The sequence below is a fragment of the Homo sapiens genome, chromosome 6 (genome assembly GCF_000001405.40).
Source record: "Homo sapiens chromosome 6, GRCh38.p14 Primary Assembly".
NCBI classification, from domain to species: Eukaryota; Metazoa; Chordata; class Mammalia; order Primates; family Hominidae; genus Homo; species Homo sapiens.
The window spans coordinates 27271913-27290795 of NC_000006.12; the positions used below are offsets into that span (position 1 = coordinate 27271913).

The 18883-nt window shown below is 42.0% G+C and overlaps 4 non-coding genes and 1 pseudogene across 4 annotated transcripts, besides 2 other annotated features; 3 read left to right on the plus strand and 2 right to left on the minus strand.

The window, feature by feature from the left end:
• Positions 1-2047: 2047 nt before the first annotated feature.
• On the plus strand, positions 2048-2121 carry TRI-AAT9-1 (tRNA-Ile (anticodon AAT) 9-1). Its single transcript has one exon. It is a non-coding gene; the product is annotated as a tRNA-Ile (tRNA).
• Positions 2122-3298: 1177 nt separating this feature from the next.
• Positions 3299-3372, minus strand: TRI-AAT3-1 (tRNA-Ile (anticodon AAT) 3-1). The gene has a single exon. It is a non-coding gene; the product is annotated as a tRNA-Ile (tRNA).
• Positions 4570-4740: a silencer, noted in NCBI's record as "fragment chr6:27244261-27244431 (GRCh37/hg19 assembly coordinates)". NCBI's record gives its function as "represses an EF-1alpha promoter that drives an FKBP-Casp9 reporter gene in an ReSE screen in phorbol 12-myristate 13-acetate-treated (for megakaryocytic differentiation) K562 erythroleukemia cells {active_cell/tissue: K562(+PMA)}" and the evidence as "EXISTENCE:reporter gene assay evidence [ECO:0000049][PMID:32094911]".
• Positions 7554-7780: a silencer, noted in NCBI's record as "fragment chr6:27247245-27247471 (GRCh37/hg19 assembly coordinates)". NCBI's record gives its function as "represses an EF-1alpha promoter that drives an FKBP-Casp9 reporter gene in an ReSE screen in K562 erythroleukemia cells {active_cell/tissue: K562}" and the evidence as "EXISTENCE:reporter gene assay evidence [ECO:0000049][PMID:32094911]".
• Positions 8358-8430, minus strand: TRV-CAC2-1 (tRNA-Val (anticodon CAC) 2-1). The gene has a single exon. It is a non-coding gene; the product is annotated as a tRNA-Val (tRNA).
• TRI-AAT10-1 (tRNA-Ile (anticodon AAT) 10-1) lies at positions 12173-12246 on the plus strand (annotated as a pseudogene).
• TRV-TAC4-1 (tRNA-Val (anticodon TAC) 4-1) lies at positions 18714-18786 on the plus strand. The gene has a single exon. It is a non-coding gene; the product is annotated as a tRNA-Val (tRNA).
• Positions 18787-18883: the final 97 nt, after the last annotated feature.

The following is an 18883-nucleotide window of genomic DNA, read 5'->3' on the forward strand; positions in this document are numbered from 1 at the left end:
AACCTCTGACCTCGTGATCCGCCCGCCTCGGCCTCTCAACGTGCTGGGATTACGGGCGTGAGCCACCGCTCCCGGCCCACATATTTCTTATATAGATTTATTTCTGTTCTCTCTTTTTAAAATTTTCACTGAAAAAAATGCAAGTGTGCTTGGAATATGGATTTATACCTAAAAGGAAACTTTATATTACTTCCAATAAATAAGACGTATTAGCTAGTTCATAGAGAAAATAACGAAAAAGACAAATACAGTGAAAAATTGTTATTTTTTAAAAGGGTAACTGATTTACAAAATCAGATACATGAAATGATTCTCAGTGAAACTAAAGAAGTTCTCAGAGAATATAATAAAAATGCTAAATTCAATTTCTCCAAATACACTTTAAAATTAGAACGTTAACTGTTTGAAATGGTGAACAAAAGCCTTCTTATCTCGATACAATTGTAGGGTTACTAGGATTTTATAATTTTAGTATAAATAACATAAGATATAATTGAATTAGTGGCTAAATATTTATGCCATAATAAAAGCAACTAGGATACTCAATCTCCTGAGAATTTCAAACAAAACAGCTTTTAAAGATGTACACAAGCAACTCTTTCTAACACCACCACCGATAGAGGTAGAATGTAACTTTTACAAGAAAGGTAATTTAAAGGTAATCAGCGAACAACTTATCAAAAATCATCTAGTCCACAAGCGAGTTCACACAGATCACTGGTCTCCGTACCCTCTGTTGTGGGGAAGGACAGGGATGGCTTAAGACAGGGACTGAGCGGACTTGCTGTGGGGAACTCAGGTTCTGGGCGGGTCCCATTCATCCATTCGCAATCCCCTAGGCTGTGCCAGATGGCAATCACCCTTGGGACTCCTAGGTACAGAAGCTGGGAGGACCACCCAGATTCGCTTACCAGAAGATGCCCATAGAGCCCCGAGGCGAAGGTGTTCCAATTTCCTCAGGTGAAGGATATCTACTGGTGGCTACAGGGCACAAATAAAGAAAAAGTGCGTGGATGCCACGTACCAGTTCATGTCCAGCAGAGATCCGAATGCCCATTTTAGTTACATTTGACCCTCCAGACCCCTAGTCCCAGAACCTGCCCTCCCCCAAGCTCTCTCTCTACCTCTGTGCCCACTCCAATCAGTCAAACAGAGCATTCCAGGGCAAACCCAAAAGAAGAGCAGGCAATTTAGCCACCCTGGGGCTTGTAGCCTGAACTCTTCAGACATGTTGTCCCAGTCGGAGCCTGGAGACACAGCTCAACATCTGCTTGCCCCAAGAACCCTGAGGCTCCAAGATCTCCGGACAGCCCTGGAAGACAGGCCGCTGCACTTATATAATAACAGGGTCCTCTCTGGTGCCAAAAGCCTGCAACCCATAGCAGAAAATAGCTCCTCCAAATAGCTCTTCATCCTCCAAATAACTGGGAGATGATTCCAGTCAAGTTGGAATAACAGGGATCAGATTTACATTCCTGCTGTAAAGAACCAAAACCTAACAAAAAAGATGAAATGACACTTTTCAAGACATACAGTATTTGGTAAGGAAGAATAGTAACCCCTAATCACAGGGGAAAAAATGAATGATTGGAGAGAGGGGGAGGTGAACAGTAGGATTAGCCCCTAACTAAGGCCTTGAATTTCCAGGCCCCAATGCAGAAAGGCAGAACCCAAGCAGAGCCTGGTGGACTCCCAGAGTTGATGAGGAGTTGATAGACTGGGAGACTGGGGCAGCTAGAGTGAATATGATAGCATACCAGAAAGAAGAGAGCTGTAATAAGAGATAACTCCAGAAAGAACTTCTGAAGTATTCAGCTTAATATTCATGAGTATGTGCAGGTATGGAACCTATACAGGACAGAAAAGACTACCCAGAATGATCAGAGGTAATATGATATTGAATTGTCTAAAGTAACTAAGAAATTGTTTCTCCTTGTGAGACAAACAGGAATTATATTGCTGAATTTAATGCTTTCACCACAAAAAAGGATGAGGGTCTAGATTAATGGGGAGGGGGAGTGGTGTGGGGGAAGAGACCCAAAATGTTGGCTGGTTAGTTCAGTTGGTTAGAGCGTGGTGCTAATAACGCCAAGGTCGTGGGTTCGATCCCCATATCGGCCACATATTTTCCTCAGTACTTTTTCTCGGTAGTTCTAGAGAAACTCGTCGGTTTTCAGCCACCAAAGAGCTAAGGATAATTAACAATGCAACTCGTCGGTTTTTAGCCAGCGAAGAGCTGAGGGTGATTAACAGTGCTCTCAGATGGTACAAATTCCCTGCCATCATTTCTTAATCTATCTGAAACCTAACTCCATCCCCGAATCACCCAAATTTCTACATCTCCTCAGGTAAAGTTCTTATTCTTTTCTTCCAGGTGTAAGGGCTGGGGACAGAAAGCTGTTCAGGGCAGAGGGCCCAAGATCGGGAGTCCTGCCGAAGGAAACAAAAAATGAGAAATTAGAAGATTATTGGCGTCTTAAAAATTATTTAAATAAAGCTTACTTGATTTCAAATTGTCCTTCCAAATTTCTATTGAAACCAACCTTGTTTCTCAAATTGACAAGAGATACAAGATAAAGAGAAGAAATATTGAATTGCCCTTTCAAGTTGGAAGCAGTATGCAAGGTGCATGTTTATTAATCACAAGAGGCTAGATTCGACTCCTTTCTAGCTCATCCTTTCCTAAAAACAAAACAAGAAACCAAACCAAAACAAAACAAAACACACCAAGTCTGTGTTCCATGTTCAAAGCGATAGCTTCCTCTCAGGGCAATCTTTTCTGTCAGTTAAATCTAAAAAAGTCTTCAGAGACATATAATAACAATCTCCTAAGAATTTGTTCTCTCTATCTTGTATCTCTTGCCAATTTGAGAAAGAAGGTTGGTTTCAGGAGCAATTTGGGAGGACAATTTGAAATCAAGTAAGCTTCATTTAAATAATTTTTAAAAAGCCAGTAATCTTCTAATTTTTTTTTTCTTTCATTAGGCAGAGCTCCCAATCTTGGGTCCTCTGCCCTGAACAGCTTTCTGTCCCCAGCCCTAACACCTAGTGGAAAAGAATAAGAACTTTACCTGAGAAGATGTAGAAATTTGGGTGATTCGGGAATGGAGTTAGAATTCAGATGGATTAAGAAATGATGGCAGCGAATTTGGACCATCTGAGAGCATTGTTTATTACCCTCAGCTCTTCACTGGCTGAAAACCGACGATTTGCATCGTTAATTATCCGTAGCCCTTCGCTGGCTGAAAACCGACGAGTTTCTGCAGAACTGCCATAAAAAACTACTGGGGAAAATACGTGGCCAGTACGGGGATCGAACCCGCGACCTTGGCGTTATTAGCACCACGCTCTAACCAACTGAGCTAACCAGCCGACGCTGGGTGCAGCTCTTCCCCCCCCACCCCCCGCCCTTAATCTCGACACTCATCCTTTTTTGGGAAAGCATTAAATTCAGCAATATAATTCTTGTTTGTCTCACAAGAAGAAACAATTTCTTAGTTGCTTTAGATTCTTAATAAAAAGAATGAGAAACTTTCTCTTAAAACAAAAACAAAACAAGGAAATAACATTTTTTATTTATTTATTTTTATTATTTTATTTTTTAAGCCGTGTTCCTAGAGTTGAAAGAGGACGCTTAAAAATTTCAAACTGCGGCGAATAGTCCAGGAATCCATGGAAACATTTGTTGCTTTCTAAATGTCTGGTAATCAGTACGTGCAGACAATGAATCAGACTCGGTGAAATATTAGCGAGTCCTTGTTTTGTAAGAGCCGTTCACTAACACAACCCAGAAATTGGCACCTGAAGGATATTCCCGACGAGTCTGTTTTCGATGGTCCCACCGTCGAGATCGTCCCAGGCAGGTTTCTCATGCCCGGAGCCTCCATTTGGAAGTTTCCCTACCTGTTGCCTCAGATTTCCAGAGTGACCTCAAATCAAAGCCCACTTTGAAGACCTTGGTATTGGAGAATTCTAGAAATGTGGCTCTACTCACCCTTCAGGGACGGTTAAACCGATCTTTCTACCCAGCCATTGTCTCCTAAAAATATTACAATTGTTTTTAATATCTTCTTTATCGTTCCAGAGATTTTTAACGCATAGCCAAAGTTAAACAAATGTTTTCTTTTTTCTCTTCACAAATAGTGGCATTTTATCTACTTTTTAAATCCTTTGCTTTTTTTTTAACTCAGAATATATTTTTGCAATTCTTTCATATCACAACAGAAAAGTGTTCATTCTCTTTTAAATATGCATAGTATTCAGCTATATGAGTATATACCATAGTTTAATAGGCATAGCTTAGACTTCCATCCTCCTATTGCAAATTTTTGGTATCTATGAGCATACACCGTATCTGATGTATGCCATGATACTTCGCACATGTGGAAAGGCTGCATCAAAGAACATGTACATTGGCAATTTTGATGGCCATTGTCACACTGTGCTTTAGAGGGTTGATCCCAATACTCTTTTTGCTTGCTTGTTTGTTTTAACTATACTTAGCACTAATATGATCCTGAACACATTTCTTTTCTTTTGCTTTTTTTTTTTCCGGTGAGACGGAGATTTACTTTTGTTGCTCAGGCTGGAGTGCAATGGCGCGATCTCGGCTCACTGCCTCCCAGGTTCAAGCGATTCTCCTGCCTCAGGCTCCCGAGTAGCTGGGATTACAGGCATGTGTCACCACTCCCGGCTAATTTTGTACTTTTAGTACAGACGGGGTTTCACCGTGTTGCCCAGGCTGTTCTCGAACTCCTGACCTCAGGTTATCCGCCCCCTTGGCCTCCCAAAGTGCTGGGATTACAGGCGTGAGCCACTGCGCCCGGCCAATCCTGGACACATTTCTACACCTTCTTCCTGAATTCCCTGCTACAAATTCGAAGCGAAACTAGGCAATCGGTATGTAGATTGTCTAGTTGGGGCATACTAGATTCTGGAACATTGTTTTGGGGGTACAAGTAATGACGTAAAGGGAATGTGATAGAATCAGGCGGGAGAAGGAAGGGGCTGAGGGGACAGCACGGAGAAGGAGCCAACAGTGGCCTTATTTTGTGCACCTAGGAGAGTACAACACGGGCAGAAACACCTGAGGGACAGGAACTAAGACACGTCATTCTGTCTGGAGATTAAGACTGAGCTGCAGAGTGGTACAGGGCGAGTAGTAGGAGATGAAGTCTGAGGAAGAAAGAACATTTATCAATACATGATGCAAAACCCTCTAGTAGATTACTATAAATGAATCAGAATACTTGATGGTAAGTGGATGGGGCACTAAAAATAAATTGGCCGGGCGCGGTGGCTCACGCCTGTAATCCCAGCACTTTGGGAGGCCGAGGTGGGAGGATCACCTGAGGTCAGGAGTTAGAGGCCAGCCTGGCTAACATGGTGAAACGCCATCTCTACTAAAAATGCAAAAATTAGCTGGGCTTGGTGGCGGGCGCCTGTAGTCCCAGCTACTCGGGAGGCTGAGGCAGGAGAATGACGTGAACCTGGGAGGCGGAGCTTGCAGTGAGCCAAGATAGCGCCACTGCACTCTAGCCTGGGCGACAGAGCAGGACTCCGTCTAAAATAAATAAATAAAAATAAAAAAGGAATTATCAGGTGTTAATTGATCTACATTAAGTCTAAACTAAGAACTATGATCACTATAGGCCAAGTTAAGGATTTTTGAATTGGTCTTAACAACAATGGGAAACTATGCAAGGATTTTAGGCAGAAAAGTCACATGGACGGATTCACATTTTTAAAATTTGTTTATTATTTATTTTTGAGACGGAGTCTGACTCTGTCTCCCAGGCTGGAGTACAGTGGAGCGATCTCAGCTCACTGCAACCTCCACCTCCCGGGTTCAAGCGATTCTCCTGCCTCAGGCTCCTCAGTAGCTGGGATTACAGGCATGCGCCACCACACTCAGCCATTTTTTTTTTTTTCGTATTTTTAGTAGAGACGGAATTTCGCCATGTTGGCCAGACTGGTCTGGAACTCCTGACCTCAAATGTTCCACCCGCCTCGGCCTCCCAAAGTGCCGGGATTACAGGTGAGAGCCACCGCGCCCAGCCAGATTCACGTTTTAAAAAGATCTCTTTAACTTTGTGTAACAACCGCACAGGTCCAGTTCTAGACACTTGACAGGCATCAGGGAACTATAGCAACACATCACTAGTACCGGGCCAATGAAATATCTGCCCTCATAGAGTATGGAAACAGATATAAATAACAAACATAATAAAAATGTGAATTATAAAATGTGTAAGAAGGTGTTAAATGTGATTGGTAAATAGAGGCAGGTAGGAAGAACTGGAGTGATGAGAGTAGGTTGGAAAGCTAGAGTTGTTAGTATAGCCTTAATAAGATTGTGACTGGAAGAAAAGGAGCAATCAAGCCACCTGACATGTGAGGTGTCACAAGCAGAGTACAACCACTATAAAAGTCTAAAGGTGGGTACTTGCATGGAATGTTTGAGGAACAGTAAAAGGGTTCATGTGGCCAGAGTACAAGAGAGGGAGACAGTAATAGAGATGAGATCAGAGAGAAATGAAGGATCGGAGTATATAGGATCTTGTAGGAGATCTTAGGAATTTGGCTTTAATTCAAGTAGAACGGGAAGCTATTGTATAATTCTGATTTTAGGAGAGGCAAATCTGATACATGCTTTAAAATACTGCTTTTAGTAGGTCTTTTGTAAATAGACTATAGGGGACTATATTCGGTTTTATATTCAGATTGCATTAGCCGGGCGCGGTGGCTCACGCCTGTAATCCCAGCACTTTGGGAGGCCGAGGCGGGCTGATCACGAGGTCAGGAGATTGAGACCATCCTGGCTAACATGGTGAAACCCCGTCTCTACTAAAAATACAAAAAATTAGGTAGGCGTGGTGGCAGGCGCCTGTAGTCCCAGCTACTCGGGAGGCTGAGGCAGGAGACTGGCGTGAACCCGGGAGGCAGAGCTTGCAGTGAGCCGAGATCGAGCCACTGCACTCCAGCCTGGGCGACAGAGCGAGACTTCGTCTCAAAAAAAAAAAAAAAAAAAAAAAAAAGATTGCATTAGGTTATTGTATTCTATGAGAAACAGACTCCAGGATATAGTTTTCATGAAGGAAGTCTATTGTGTATCCAGGAATGATATACAAAAGAGGACTCAACCATTCCCATGGGGAGCTCTGGAGCTACAATGATCCTTTAGAAATGTCCTGAATTGGGGAAAAGGAGCTGGGTCATTGTACCCACTCATAGACGTGGCTTTAGATGTAGGCTGATCCCAGAGAAAAGATATAACCTTAAACAGGGTAGCTTTTTAGCTTAGAACAATTCCTGGGAAGAGCTGAGCTTTGAGTTAGCAGCAAACAGCACTCCAGGATGTTGGGTGTCTGAGTACCTTGCTCCACAAAACATTGGGCAATGTAGAAAACCATTGGGTTCTAGGTAGAACACCATCATATCCATTACAGTCTACCACTTGCTCTACTCAGAGCCGCTTCCTTCATATAATGAATTCATCCCACCTGGGAATAACTTTTCTAGGATTCTGGTTGATCTCTTCGTGACTAAATCGTAAAAGAGGCAAGTGGCTGTTTGGCTCCTTCTATACCTCAAAAAAAAAAAAAAAAAAAAAAAAGTCCGCAAACGGTTCCATATATCTAGAGCCGGCAGGCTCCATTTACCCACAGGGGCTGGCCTTGGCCTGAGTGCAGTAATCTCCGAGCTGGACTCTGAGTCCCGGTAGGGAGGAAAGCTCAGCAAGAACATCTGCCAGCCCAGGTTCCTTTCGAGGACCTCAGTACATGTACACACAGGAAAACACCCTAATCCCACTCCAAATCTTCCTGTAGCGTCCTGAGTCTCAGTGGAACCTTGTGATGATCCCATGGAGCGAGGCTTACGAGCAGCGAGTGAGCGACTGGAGCCCAGCCTGCACCTGGAGGGGCGGTTCTGGCCCAGTGCTCCCGGAAAGGGTGGCTTTCGGCAAAGTCTCGGCCTCGCCTTGACCCTCCAGGAAAAATGTTCCTGAGCGGAAAGATCGTTCAAGTTGCCTGCGAACCAAGTCCTTGAGGTCTTTGTGGGGATCAGGCGATGAGAGCATCAATTATAATAATAATAATTTGTTCGGCAAAAAATTGCTCGGGTCTGTTCATGTCCACCCGAGTAGCCACGGACACTTGGCTTTGAAGAGGGCTTTTTCCTTGTCGAAAACAGGAAGGGCTCTGGTGGGAGAAAGGCGGCAGGTGTACTTCGGTTTATATGCACACCACAGGTGACAAGGAGAACCTTCTCTCCTAAACGGCTAAAGATGGTGCGGGGGTGCAATTCTAAAAACGTGCACTGAGAAATTCAGCTAAGGATTCCTCAAAAATACAGGTTGCTTCTGCCCGGTTTCGAACCGGGGACCTTTCGCGTGTGAGGCGAACGTGATAACCACTACACTACAGAAGCCCTGACATTTGATAGTTTTTCTCCTAGGAGAAGAAGAAAATTTTTCTGGATATCCCAGATTTGGTAACATCGAATTGATCTTTTCTTTCAGGAAATTATCAAGGTTGATAAGCTTTCCTATTTATTAAAATCAGTAATATCGGAGTTCACGAGTCATACAAAGAAAATACTGCGACTTGGGGAAAATTTTCTTTTCAAACACAGCACAGAAATTTTACACAGCCCCCCAGTAGAGGACATTTTTTTTAAAGTACTCCCTCTGTTAGGCTTTCTCCAACAGCAGAAGGCTCTGTGATCTCCATCTCTTGGGAGGCAGAAAATTACCACAAGAAAATAGCCGGGAGGCAGCGGATTGAACCCTGGAAACGGCCCGCTCTTTGTGCTGGGCGGTGCTCGAAGGGAAGAAACTGAGGGCCCGGGAGTCGAGTGTGTCCAGTTGTCTGCCAGGCAGGATAAGGACTGGGAAAAATGAAAAAAAAATTCCTAGACATACACAACCTACCAAGCCTGAATCATGAAGACACAGAAAATATGAACATACCAATAGTAGATAAGGAAATTGAATCAGCAATAAAAACATCTCCCATCAAAGAAAAGCCCAGGACCTGTAGCGTCTCTAGTGAATTCTACCAACTATTTAAAGAACTAATAACATTTATTATGGAAAACAGTATTGTGGTTCCTCAAAAAATTAAAAATAGAGATACCATATGATCCAGCAAACTCTCTAGTGGGTATATAGCTAAAGGAAGTGAAATCAGTATGTCCAAGAGATTATCTGCATACCACCAAGATATGGAATTCTTCTTTTTTTTTTTTTTTGGTGGCACAGAATCTCTCTCTGTCGCCCAGGGTGCGATTTTGACTCACTGCAACCTCTGTCTCCCGGGCTCAAACGATTCTTGTGCCTCAGTCTCCCGAGTAGCTGGGATTACAAGCCTATGCCAATATACCCCGCTGATTTTTTTTTTTTTTTGTATTTTTAGTAGGGGCGCGTTTTCACCATGTTGCCCAGGCTGGTCTTGAACTTCTGGGCTCTCCTCGGCCTCCCAAAGTGCTGGGATTGCAGGCGTGAGCAACGGCGCCCAGCCAAGATATGGAATTCTTGTGTTCACCAATGGATGAATGGATAGAGAAATGCGTTTAGCTTCCCTGTGCCTTGGAAGTATCATTTCCAATTTATCATGGGTGTGTACATTTTTATTGGTGTACTTGTGAGCTCATCACTAATTTTTGCAGTCTGTTAATCTACCATAGTTTCAGTTTCATTGTATTTTCTTATATATTTATATTGTGTACTGATGTGTGCATGGATTAGTAATGAGTACTCTATTATTTTTAATGTCATAATTATTCATTATTTATTTATTATTTATTAAAAATAATATTTAATATTAAATATTATTTATTACTTATATTATTTATTATTATAATAATTTATAATATGTCACATTATAAAATATTATTTAATTAAAATTTAATGTCACTCTATTATTTTAATATCATAAAATACATGAAAATACATTTTTCTGTAGAATCACGTTTTCCTCCTACTGTGAATAAAGACATAACTCACTAAGGGGAAGAATCTTGGCCAAAATGTGTGATAAATCATGCAGCAGTTAAAAGTGTGCAAAAACAAACAGTAAAGGTGAAAGGAGGCACAAATTTAATAAAGTTACTCCATAAATCATAATTGACATTAAATGTTGGAATGTAGGAACTGATTTATTAACCATATAAATTTAAAACACACATGTTATCTTTTGACAAATTGTTTACCTATTTTAGTTTTCAAAGTGGGCAAAATTAACACCTCAAAACATATAAGTGTTTTCAGAGAAGGATCACAGAGTGTGTGTGTGTGTGTGTGTGTGTGTGTGTGTGTATAATGGTAATATGTAGACTTAACAGCACCTTTTGCCTAAATGACAAAATGGCCTAGACCCAATCTGGCAGAGTCCTTTTTCCAGAAGAACTGGGAAAACTTTTCATATTTAAGTTTGGAACAACAGAGAGAACGGGAAGACTTTGGCATTTAGAGAATGTGAATATTTGTATTTCTCGATAAAGTGAGAAATCTTTTTGGAAAAGCTATGGCTTTAATCAGTTTCAAATCTGAGACCCCTTTCTTGTAGGCAGATGTGCTAACCAGTACACCCCAAAAAACTTTCTCTTCTGTGCAGCAATCCATAGCAGAATGAAAGGAGGATTCTTTGGATATACTCAAACCTAATAACTTTTAATATGTTTTTCTTTTTAGTATATTTTTATCCACAGTGTGTTTCTTCCTTCATACTTTCAATTCGTTAAAATTAACATTTAGGTTGGTGCAAAAGTAGTTGCAGTTTCGGACCATGAATTTTTAAATCATTATAACTAGGCTCAAACACATCTTTATTAATCAAAATAGGAACCATTACAATCAACACATTTTTGCCAACAAGAAATAAGTTTGTTTATTCCTGGAGGGTAAAAATCTGTGCTTCGGGATTGGACAGAAAATGCTTGCATCCCCTCGTTGTGGAAGCGTTTTACCTGCAAAAAGTTGTGGAGATGTTTGAAGAAGTGGTAGTCGATTGGTGAGAGGTCAGATGAATATGATGGATTAGGAAAATCTTCGTAGCCCAATTCGCTCAACTTCAGAAGCGTTATTTGTGCGACGTGCAGTCGAGTCAACGTTGTTGTGAAGAATTGGGCCCTTCCTGTTAACCAATGCTGGCTGCAGGCATTGCAGTTTTCGATGTATCTCATTGAGTTGCTGAGCATACTTCTCAGATGTAATGGTTTCACGGGTATTCGGAAAGCTACAGTGAATCAGACAAGCAGCAGACCACCAAACAGCGAATATGACCTTTTTTTGGTACAAGTTTGGCTTTGGGAAGTGCTTTGGAGCTTCTTCTCGATCCAACCACTGAACTAGTCGTCGCCAGTTGTCGTATAAAATCCACTTTTCATCGCACGTCACAATCCGATGGAGAAATGGTTCCTTGTTGCGTAGGATAAAGGAAGAAGACACTTCAGAACGGCCCTTTTTTTTTTTCGCTCAGCTCATGAGGTACCCATTTACCAAGGTTTTTCATCTTTCCAATTTGCTTCAAATGCCGCACGGTAAAATGGTCGACGTTGAATTATTTGGCAACTTCTCTCGTAGTTGTAAGAGAATCAGCTTCGCTGATTGCTCTCAATTAGTCTTGTCAACTTCCCATGGCCCGCCACTACAACTCTTCATCTTCAAGGCTCTTCTCACCTTTGCAAAACTTCTGGAACCACCACTGCACTGTACGTTCATTAGCAGTTCCTGGGCCAAAGTGCATTGTTGATATTGCGAGTTGTCTTCGCTGCTTTATGATCCATTTTGAACTCGAATGAGAAAATTGCTTGAGGCCGGGCGCGGTGGCTCACGCCTATAATCCCAGCAATTTGGAAGGCCAAGGCGGGCGGATCACCCGAGGTTGGGAGTTCGTAGACTATCCTGACCAACAAGAAGAAACCGTCTCTACTAAAAATACAAAATTAGCCGGGTATAGTGGCGCATGCCTGTAATTTCAACTACTCGGGAGGCTGAGGCAGGAGAATCGCTTGAACCCGGGAGGCGGAGGTTGCGGTGAGCCGAGATCGCGCCATTGCACTCCAGCCTGGGCAACAAGAGCGAAATTCCGTCTCAAAAAAAAAAGTTGAAGAGGGAAAAAATCGTTTATTTTTTTATATCTTGTTAAGAGGGAAGTGAACTTCGCGTCGTGGCCGGTTAACTTAATTGGTTAGAGCGTGGTGCTAATAATGTCAAGGTTGCGGGTTGGATCCCCGAACGGGCCACAGTGGGTGTTAGCTTTTCATCATTTATATCAATCATCTGTGAACGCTGTGAACGCAACAAATATGTCTGAATACAAACTGTAGATCGTCACCGCTGAACCCAAGCAGTCATCAAGATAATTCCACCTGCTAGAGGGGGTATTAAGTAACACTTAATACCTTAATTTGAAAAAAGGATATTGTTTAGTTGTCGTCCTATCTTTTTTTTTTTTTTTTTTGAGACGGAGTCTCTCTCTTGATGCCCAGGCTGGAGTGCAATCGCACAACTGGGCTCACGGCAACTTCCGCCTCCTGAGCTCAACCGATTCTCCTGCCTCAGCCTCCCTAGTTATTTTCCATAATCTTGATTCTTGAAGATTAGCTTGGCTTGTTATGTAATTCTTGGTTCACACTTTATTTTTATTTTTTAATGCTGATCTAATTTTTTATATTACTGCTCAGAAGTCTGATACTAGGCTTCTGTTTATAGAAACTTTCCTTGGTTAATCGTTTCAATGATTACATCTACTCTATTGACTCTTTTCTTTCTTTGAGGTAATCCAATTAAAGTATTAGGTTTTCTGAGGCCTTACCTTAACCGTATGCAGAAAAACCTTCCTTGCTCCTTTGTCTCCATATTTGTTTCCCTAAATTTCTTATTTGCATAGCAGCCATTGAGACTTTAGCTTGAAATGGAAAATATAATTTTTCTTCTTCAAACTTTCCCAACTCTCCACAGCACATCACACCAAAGTGTTAAGTGAAAGATCGTCCTCTTTATTCCTGGTCTAACCCTTATTTTCTCATTTTGTCTTATTTTCTCCTACTCCCTGCCTCAAATTTAGAATTCCTTGGAGTTTCCCGAAACACTGACTTATTTCTCCATGCTGCCTCTAATTCCAGATTCCCCTATCCCCTCCATCTCTCATCAGCCGATTTCTTACTTTTCATCTATTAAGTCTTGGATTGAGGGAAGAGAGAGACCCTCTCATATTGTTTTATATTGTTTTATACTCAGTACCTGTTTTAAGAAAAAAAGAAGGAAGTGAAATCAAAGACAGGTAGCCCGGCGCCAGGCCCCAAACCAGACCTGGGCCTGCCTGGCCTAAACCTAGTAGTTAAAAATCAACTCATGACTTAGAAACCGATGTTTTTCATAGAGTCCAGACATTGTAGAGAAAAACATTGTGAAACTCCCTGCCCTGTTCTCTTTCTCTCTGACCACCGGTGCATGCAGCCCCTGTCAAGTACCCCTTGCTTGCTCAAATCAATCACGACCCTGCCATGTGAAATCTTCAGTGTTGTGAGCCCTTAAAAGGGACACAAATTGTGCACTTGAGGAGTTCGGATTTTAAGGCAGTAGCTTGCCGATGCTCCCAGCTGAATAAAGCCCTTCCTTCTACAACTCAGTGTCTGAGAGGTTTTGTCTGCGGCTCATACTGCTACAGGATCAGTTATCACTTCTTCTGAAAGCTTTTCCTCATTATTTAGAGTGACAGTTGCTCCTTTTCTATGTTTCCATGATAGTGCATGAGTATTTATCTCTGTGGTTTCATTTGTCAATTTAAAATATAACCACCCTGTTTTGGGTAATTTTATTATGAAAAATCAGTGTTGAGCCCTTTGCTACCTCAGGCATGTCCATTTTTTCAGGATATCTGTTACTGCTAGAGCCTAGCTCAGGATGGGGCACATTGTAGGCTACTCATTAATTTCTTTGAAATAAATGTCTAATCAAATTGTTGAAAATAATAAACTCATGCCATTTATGCTGCAGATTTAATGTCAGAAAAAAATCATAAGACTCAAGATCTTGCTAACTGGGAAATACTGTCTTTCTTCTCTGTTTCCTGAAATATTGTGATCAATCCAAGTTTTAGCTGCCAAGAGCAGGAATTTTCCACTTTGCTATTTGTCAGAGATTCATAAGCGGCACTGTCCTGTCATGTCAACAGATTTGGAGGAAGAGCACCATCTCACTGTTGAGCACCTTCCAGATACCCGGGAAATGCTGGAAAAGGAAAAAAGACAGTGACAATTGTCAGTTGACATAGGAAAAGGAATAAAAAATAGACAAATGTTGTACATCGTCTGTCCATTAAACAGATTGACATAATCACTGAGCATGTGCTTTCCAGACCAGTAAGAGTGACACAAACAATAGAATGACCGATGACTCCTAGATACACTCACCACACATGAATTCCCAGTCACATGAATTCCCAGATGCCACCTCTTTTGTCATCACCTTCTGACAGTCTACTGGGCACAGCTCACCCCTCCCCCATCACATCCCCTGCTCAACACTGTCCTCCAGACAAGCATTGACTTTGCAGAAGCTTGAGTGGTCTCCAGATCTCAGTGTGTTGGATCCTCCTGGCTCCTCAAGGTCAAGAAGAGACTTGGAAATCAAAGCCATAGGAAAACATCAAAGAGTTCCTTGAAATCAACTCCCTGTGTTTACTCTGCCTAGCTTTGGGGGAGAAATTTAGACTCTAGTTATGAGCTGTATTTGGTTATGAATCATGGAGTTTCTACAGCATTAATTTTAACAAATAGAAAGTATGAAGGAAAGGGCCGGGTGGGGTGCGGTGGCTCACGCCTGTAATCCTAGCACTTTGGGAGGCCGAGGCCGGTGGATCACGAGGTCAGGAGTTCGAGACCAGCCTGGCCAACATGGTGAAACCTTGTCTCTACTAAAAATACAAAAATTAGCCAGGCATGGTGGCGCACACCTGTAATCCCAGTACTCAGGAGGCTGAGGCAGAAGAATTGCTTGAACCTGGGAGGCGGATGTTGCAGTGAGCCGAGATCGTGCCACTGCATTACAGCCAGGGAGAGAGTGAGACTCCATCTCGGGGGGGTGGGGGCAGGGGGAAGAAAAAGGGGGAAAAAAAAAAAGAAAGTATGAAGGAAAGAAACACACAGTGGATAAAAATATAAAGAAAAACATGACTGGGGGCAGTGGCTCATGCCTGTAATCCCAACACTTTTTGAGGCCAAGGCGGGTGGATCACCTGAGGTCAGGTATTCGAGACCAGCCTTACCAATATGGTGAAACCCTGTCTCTGTTAGAAATACAAAATTAACCAGGCGTGTCGGCACCTGCCTGTAATCCCAGCTGCTTGGGAGACTGAGGCAGGATACTTGCTTGAATCAGGACCGGGAGGTTGCAGTGAGCTGAGATCACAGCACTGCACTCCAGCCTGGGCAACAAGAGCGAAACTCCGTCTCAAAAAAAAAAAAAAAAAAAAAAAAGAGAGAGAGAGAAAGAAAAAAGAAAAACATTAAAAGTTATTAGGTTTGAGTATATCTAAAGAATCATCATCTCATTCTGTTGTGAAAGGCCTGATTGTAGCAGGGAGTTTCTGTAATGTAATAATTAGCATGTCCGCCTAGCATGTGAAAGGATTCTGGTTTTTAAATCCAGTGGAAACAACAGCTTTTCCAAAAAATTTGTCTCATGGATACCTTCTTCCAGTCTGAGGCTGGCGTTTTCTCTCTCAATAGCCTTTTGATGAAGATAATGTTTAGTTTGGATGAAGTCCATAGTTTCAATCTTTTTAAAAATGCTTACTTGTTTTGTCAAATCTACAAAACATTTGACTATCGCAAAGGCAAAAAGGATTTTTCTAAATTTTCTTTAATAGGCTTTGTTTTCATTTTCACTTTAAGGTGTATGGGTGAAAAATTTGAACAGGCGCTTCACAAAGACGGCCAAATGGCAACTGAACAATTTGCAATCAGAAAAAAAAAAAGAAAGAAAGAAAGAGGGAAGAGGGTCTAAACAAGCAAATAAACGAAAAACGAGAGGCGAGGCTACCAGGTTTCTTCCATTTCTGGCAAACATTTATTGTTGTTGTTTTTTCCTTCACAGAATTATTTTCAGAAACCTTCCACAGGAGATTCGTGCGTGGAGGGGGTGGGGTGGAAAGAAGTAGGGAATGGAGAAGATTACTAAGAAAAGTTTCCTGTCTGGAACTGCGGCAGATCTCTTTGGATAGAGATGACTACTTAACCTCACTCTGCTTTCCTTCGCCGCGGTTGCGGCCGCGACCCTGTTCTTACCACCAGCAATTCCTCCAGGGACTTGGTCAGCAGCCCAACTTGATCTGCGTCTCTCTGCTAAGGTGTTTCCGCAACAGGGTCAACTCCAAGTCTCACCTTTCTAGGAATCCCGGGCGCAGCGCGGGGGTCGGGACTCCGACCTGTATTTCCAGGCGGAGGTTTCCCTGGGTCAGGCGGCCACTCTCTGCCAGAGATTGTCAGTTATCCAACTGTCAATAGAGCCGCCGCTCCAGCGAGTTTAATTTAGGCACAGAAAAGTCCTGCCTGGGTTGAGGTGGGCTTAGGATGAGTTTACTTGAGTGTGTGATTTAGAAATAGATCTATGGGACAGACAGACACGAAATCGGGCATTGGGGCCCTCGCAGGCAGGGTATCTAGACTGGCAGCTGCCGGTGCAGGATATTGCCAAGGACTCGGCATCCGGCTCAGCTCAAGGTGGGGACGAAGACGTCCTGGTTGCAAGGAGGAGCCCTACTCCCCCCGGAATCAGAACTGTGCATAGCGGGCTCTGGATTTGCCGGGATGTTTGAGGAATTTGAAATGAGAAAGGAGAGGAGGAAATGGTTTAATGGTATATTGAGTTACTGGAGTGTATTTTAGTCACCGATTTTGGTTTTAAAAAATGAGAAATATGGAGTGCAGGATTTCTGCCTGATTGAGTACAAGGCTAGAAAATAAGTGCTACAACCTCCCTAGTCCACCTACACTTCAATGTCTTAAATCCTAGTGCATCTGCAGAGCCCAGCACCGGATGGGGGAGGGGAGTGGGGGCGGAGAGAGAACAGAACTGGAATTCTAGGTAGGGGAGTCAAATTTGCTAGGCTCTCAGCTGAGACCATCGCATTTGTTCTTAGTTGGCTAAGGGTATACACATGATCTGAATCTCTCTGAGTATTCCCAAATTGTTTGGGGGAAAATTTAGCTGGTTTTAACTTAGAGATTAGGTCACACTAGGTCTCACATCCTGTGTACTTTGAGAGGACAAAAGGATAAAGGGTAGAAACTGGCATTTTAAAAGAACCGATTATCACACATTTTATAGCTATTTAATAAGGTAATCCTTAATATTATGACCTGAAATCCTCTCCATGGCTGACTCTCATGTGTTCAGCTTTATTTCATACCCCACCGCCCCTTTCTCTCCAACCACACTGTCCTACTTGCAAATCGGTCCCTCTTATTTACCATGGGTTTGGGTACATAAGATTTCTTTTGCCTTTAACACTCTTTTAAATCTAGTTAACATCTCCCCAACCTTTAAACTTGAGCATCATTATTTTCTCAGAGAACTCTTCCCCTAAACTTTCTAAATTAATCTTCATATATATTAAATGAGAGCACTATATGTCTCTCTTTTCTTGGAAATGCTGCATTAATTTGGATGATAACTTGATTACTGTCTGTCTCTCACAAGAATATAATTTCCAAGAAGACAGGTGCAGTGCCTGGTTTCGTTTACTAATAAAACCCTACAGTCCATTGCAATGCCCATATATGCAATGGACACACAATAAATATTAGTTGACTAATATGTGAACCCATACCATTCTACAAAGTAAATGTTAAACTTATTTTGAGACAAGGAACTGAGGTTAATAGTTAATTGTCCAAATTGCAGAATTAGTAAAAGAGTTATTTCCTATTTTTCTCGGATTTGAGACTCAATTGCAGAAACTGTGTAATCAGTAGGGAAAGAGGAATTGAATTCTTCCCTTTAAAAATAACAGAAAATAACAATGGCCTTCATGGTCAACATCTTTAAGGAAAAATGCAGACTGGTGTCTTTGAACAGGATTTTTACAATCATCACAGTGAGACACTAATTAACCACACAAATTGAATGCTGTATAGAGAGGTATTTGATAGACAATAGAACCTTTCCACTTTCCTGATAGTCCTCTGCCCTTCCCAAATTCTGTAAACATGCTTACCCTCGTGATATATCCAGAACAATATGAAGATCTCCAGACAGGAAACGCAGACATCTGGTCATCAAGATAGGAGATACATTCACTTTGAGCCTCAACTTAAGTTCACAATATTCTGGCCACCGCAACCCTTCCTTTTACACTATGTAGACTTTTGTCTACTACATTACATCTCTTTACATTTTTATCCATAAACATCGACAACAACGAAATCACACTCTTCTGAATTCCTGCCTCTGCCCCGTGAAAACAAAAAAAAAAGAAAAAAAAATCAACGTCCACAGTAACAAGCCTCGCATCTGAGGGGAAATTTTCTTAAATTCTCCAGTCACGTCTGAAAAAAAAAAGTTTTAATGGAGGACTTTGTAGTAAAGAAAAGCATGGTAACCTTGATAATTTACTGAAAGGAAAGGCCAATCAACTCGATGTTACCAAAGCTGAAACAGAAAAATTTAATTCTCCCTTAACGAAGGAAGCCAACGCAGCACACAGGTTTCCGTGGTGTAGTGGTTATCACATTCGCCTTACACGCGAAAGGTCCTCGGGTCGAAACCGAGCGGAAACAACTTGCAATTTTTCGGGGTGTTTCTGTTTTCCAAGATTCCCTTAGCTGACCTTGACAGTGGACGTCTTTACAATGGCACCATCGCACGATCTCTCGA